This window comes from Homo sapiens, chromosome 1 (genome assembly GCF_000001405.40).
Source record: "Homo sapiens chromosome 1, GRCh38.p14 Primary Assembly".
NCBI lineage: Eukaryota > Metazoa > Chordata > Mammalia > Primates > Hominidae > Homo > Homo sapiens.
In genome coordinates, this window is record NC_000001.11 from 161,861,584 (window position 1) to 161,866,360 (window position 4,777).

A 4,777-nucleotide genomic window follows, 5' to 3' on the forward strand; every position below is an offset into this window, starting at 1 on the left:
ATGTTTTAGTGAATTACAGCCAATTTTCATTATTTGTGGATTCCATATTTGCTAATTCACCTACTAAAATCTGCTAAAATGTATTTGTAACCCCTAATATTAGCAGTGCTTTTGTCATCATTTGCAAACATGCGTAGATGCTCCCTGGTGAGGTTGAACAAGGCAGTGTTCTGCCTTTTAGTCTCAGCTATATAAACAAGGTCCTTTTCACAGTCCACATTTTTCATATTTTTGTGCTTTTTGTTGGTAATTTTGCTGTTTGAAATGGCCCCGAGGCATATTGCTGAATTGCTGTCTAGTGTTGCTAAGCCGAAGCGGGCTGTGATGTGCTGTGTGGAGAAACTACGTATGTTAGATAAGTTTCATTCAGGCATGATTTATAGTGCAGTTGGCTGTGAGTTCAAGTTAGTGAATGAATAATATATGTTAAAGAAGGTATCTCTAAACAGAAACACATAAATAAGGTTATATATTTATCACTTAACAGAAATATTGTAACCAGAGGCTTGCAGGAACCTAACCCTGTATTTCCCCCAGGAGGATGGTTTAGGATTCACTAATTCATTGCTGGCAGTGACTTTTTAGAACATAACTATCACAAAATAGCAAGAAGCGACTATATATTCAAAATATTGTAATCAGAAATGGCCTAGTGAACAAATGGAGTTATTTCAAAGGAAATTCTTATGACTCATTTATTACTTCCATTTAGGTCAGTCTTTTTCTCCTCTTAATAATATTTGATTGATACATACAAGTTTTCTCTTTGAGGAAAAATGAAGCATTTTTACAGGATCCCTTTAACTCTTCCAGATATTGGTCCTAAACCCTAGAAAATCCTGAACACATTAAGAACTCTATTAGAATCATTTGACTGTATTTTTTGGGGCATGATGTGGTTTGAGGTATTATCATTTTAGTTTTTAATTTTAGTAAGGCACATACATGGTACTTTTAATATCAATGACTAGCAGTTGTTGAGTGACTCCTATGGGACAGGATCCATGCTTGGCACTTGACATATAACATCTCCAGTAACAGTCCTACAAGGGTTGTGTGGTTATACTCTTTTTATTGAGGAGGAAACAGTTTGTTCATGGAGGGCAATTTCCCCAGGAGTGCCCACTTGAGAAGTGAAGCAGGAATTCTAAACCAAGTCTGCTTGTTTTCAAGTCCTAAGCTTTTTCCACCTTTTTGCACAGCCTCGTAGGCAAGCATACCTTCATATATTCGACAGGGTGGTGAAAAATGACTTTTCCTCAGATTTAATTTGTATTACTAAAAAAATTAAAAATCGTTCAAACCTATGCAGAAATCTCTCTATTTTCTGATACTTTCATTATTTTTACATGCTTTGCAATGTACTTGACCATCTAGTACATTTTAGAGCCTTGATTCAGAAATCAGAATTTTAGCATAAGTGAATGGGTTCTTATAAAATATCCTGATCCTTGGGCTTTGCAAAATATTGTTATAAAAATTACTGCCAAAGTGCAACTAATATTTTGGTTGAGAGAGATTCTTAGAATTCAGACATAGCCTTAGAATGGGAAGTATTTTGGGAAAACAGGAAACTTTTTATTTTAGTAATACCTTATATTTTTCTTACTTTAGCAGGAACTCAGGGAGTGAGCTACAAGTGTATTATGCTTCACCCAGAAGTTATCAAGACTTTTTTGAAGCCATCCGCAGAAGGGGAGACACATTTTATGTTGTGTCATTTCGAAGGGTAAGTTCATCTTGAAAGAATAGAGCAAATATTTTTGAGTGCTTGCCGTACACAAGACATTGGGCTGAATATTGTGGAAAATACAAAGATGTGAGAAATAGGAAGCAATATAAAATAAATTATGTGAGTGGAACAGTCTAAGTACTGTAATATATGCTTTACTTTGAGCTGTTGAGTATTATAAAGATGAACATGGAATTGGTGTCAGACTATGAGTTTGTATTTAGGAAATATAAACTACTTGTTGATTTTTATTGTTTGTAATCCTGATAGCCATGCTGTTTATAAAAAAAGGAAAAGTAAAAACATAAAAATATTCTATTTAGGCTTTTCCTATTTAGGCTTTTAAACCAATTCCCATTTGGTTATTGAGAAACAGACTTCTGAAATGTAGGTTTGAGATGGATCATGGGCTGATTATTAATTGTGGAATGTTTGGATCTATGTTCCTAAGAATCTCTATTCCTCTTTTATCTCTTCTTAATTAAACATTTGGTTGGTGAAGAATGTGTTAGATAATCAGTTAGCTTATGTAAAAGTAAATGTTTATACTAGCACTTTTGAATGTTATGAATGTTAGGCTAAATGGAAAAAATGCATAGCTGTTTATATTTCATCTACTTTTTCTATAAAATGAAAATATTTTCTTCATAGAATTGCCATGTGAATATCTCTGTTAGAGTGCTGTAGGTTAACCCAGGAGCACATGAATGAATTAGAATTCCTCAGTGGTGGTTTCTATCCCAAGCTGTTTTTTCTTTCTTTCTCTCTGTTTTTAAACAAGAGAAGGGACCTCACTGTGTTGCCCAGGCTGGACTCAAACCCCTGGGCTCAAGTGATACTGAGTAGCTGGCTTTCTTTTTTTTTTTTAAGAATACACTGGGTATGGTTAGAAGTAAGTACAGTTGACCCTTGAACAACACAAGTTTGAATGAAGCAGGTCCATTTATATGTGGATTTTTCTCAACCTTAGCAGGATGCCAAACCCACTTATATGCAGGGCCAACTTTTCACACATGTAGATTCCACAGAGCTAACTGTGGGACTTGAGTATGTACAGATTTGGAGTTATACAGGCGGCTCTGTAACCAGTCCTCCACATATACAGAGGGATGAGTGTCTATACTAACAATAGAATGAGCAAATTCATTCTCTGATTATTACCACTCACTGTCACTGAAATTCTCAGTTAACTAGTTAATTCTTTTCCTAAGGTATAAATATCTAGCAGCTCAGGTTTTTAGGACCAGAGAACTTTGATACTTGAAAACTAGGGAGATCAAACATCTTATATATTTTCAGTTATTAATCAAACATGCTAAGAGATTTGGAACACTTTAGCCATAGCGTCTCATGATCACTGCCTTTTCACAAAATTCCCTGTGTTCACCTTACTCTATCAGACATAACTGGTATGTTTCTGTACAGGACCAGCCTCAAAGTTTCTTTTCAGCAGCAAGGGGGCAGCTGAGAACAATGTTTCCTGCAAGGCTCCAACTGTACTGGTCTATGAAAACAAAGTATTTCCCTTACTATTGACACAATTATGTTCAAAGTAGGAGAAAAAAAGTAAACTTTTAAGAAGATTCAGTACTATGAAGAAGAAACCTGCTGGGTGTTAAAATGATTGTGTTGAAGTATATTTTATGGAAGTTACTGTAGGAGAATGTTTTTAACACTCAAATAGACAGTTTTTCTGAGGTTCAGGATAATTACTGTATTATTTGATCAAAACAGTATAACAGATATTAGAAGTAACACTTGTCAAGCCATGGATTGAAGTCATGGTTAGTAATGTTTTTCTAAGGGAAGAGAACAAGTATTTTTTATAGAGAAGACAATCCTAGCTTTTTTTTTTTTCTTTTGAGATGGATTCTCTCTCTGTTGCCCAGGCTGGAGTGCAGTGGTGCCATCTTGGCTTACTACAACCTCCACCTCCCAGGTTCAAGTGATTCTCTTGCCTCAGCCTCCTGAATAGCTGGGACTATAGCCGCATGCCACCATGCCTGGCTAATTTTTGTGTTTTTAGTAGAGACGGGGTTTCACCATGTTGGCCAGGATGGTCTCCATCTCCTGACCTTGTGATCCACCCGCCTCGGCCTCCCAGAGTGCTGGAATTACAGGCATGAGCCACCGCGCCCAACCAATCCTAGCTTTAAACAGACTGTATTTTTATAAAAGACAGTGAATGGCGGTTTAAAAAATATATATGCATTGCATTTTTTTGCATTTGTAAAAAGTGATTTCTCATTAGTTTGCTATAAAAGTGCTGTTAGAAAATTATTGATTTCCACTCCTCCCTAGTCCCTTGATGTTCATTCAGGAAGACTGTTAGGACTGGCTCTCACACAATTACTATTAGGAGTATGTCTAACATTCTGTTTCGATTTTTCATTTTCAAATTACTGATTTATCACATTTTGGTGTTTTATATCAAGGAAGAGTAAAGACAAATGAACTGAATTAGATAATAGTAATTAAGATAACATCCTTTTTATTTTTTTTGTTTTGTTTCAATAGTAGGGAAAAGGAAGTTAATTTTATCTTGATGACTGTAAACTATGTTATGGGACAGGAATTTTGTTCTTTAATACCTGGATTGTTCTTTTTGCTCTTGCTGAAATGAAAATGAAATAATAAATTACCTCATGCTTGGTCTTCTTTCATCTTTCAATATAAAATATTCTAACAGTTTCATTAAAAAGGTGAGTGGCATCATTTCTTGTGCAGAAGGATGTAGACTTTTTCTCCCACTTAGGTTCTTAATTTTATTGGCAGAAATTATTATAATTGATACTACATTGGAAATTCAGAAGAAGATTCCAGAGCCCCAGGTTTCGGCTTAGCATGAACCAGACATTTATAACAAAGCCAATAAGCAAGCTATGTTATTTTATTTTATGAATGGACATGTATTTAACAAAATATTTTAATATCTAAAGATGTAGAAGTAGCCATTGACTGTTTCGTACTGTTATTTAAGCCACTCTCTCCCAAACTTACACTCCCTCACACCCTGCATTCCTGTACCTTTTAATCTCTTTACAG

The 4,777-nt window shown here is 35.2% G+C and overlaps 1 protein-coding gene across 6 annotated transcripts in view; it reads left to right on the forward strand.

Annotated features, from left to right (window-relative positions):
• The window catches only part of ATF6 (activating transcription factor 6), a 197,751-nt gene that overhangs the window by 95,264 nt on the left and 97,710 nt on the right, over positions 1-4,777 (forward strand). For 4 of the 6 annotated variants that reach the window (NM_001437597.1, NM_007348.4, XM_047449542.1 and 1 more), the window contains exon 14: positions 1,615-1,729. In NM_001437597.1, coding sequence (NP_001424526.1) covers positions 1,615-1,729 — 115 coding nt within the window. The remainder of the gene's footprint in view (positions 1-1,614; positions 1,730-4,777) is intronic. The other 2 variants (XM_011509309.1, NM_001410890.1) reach the window with 1 other exon arrangement.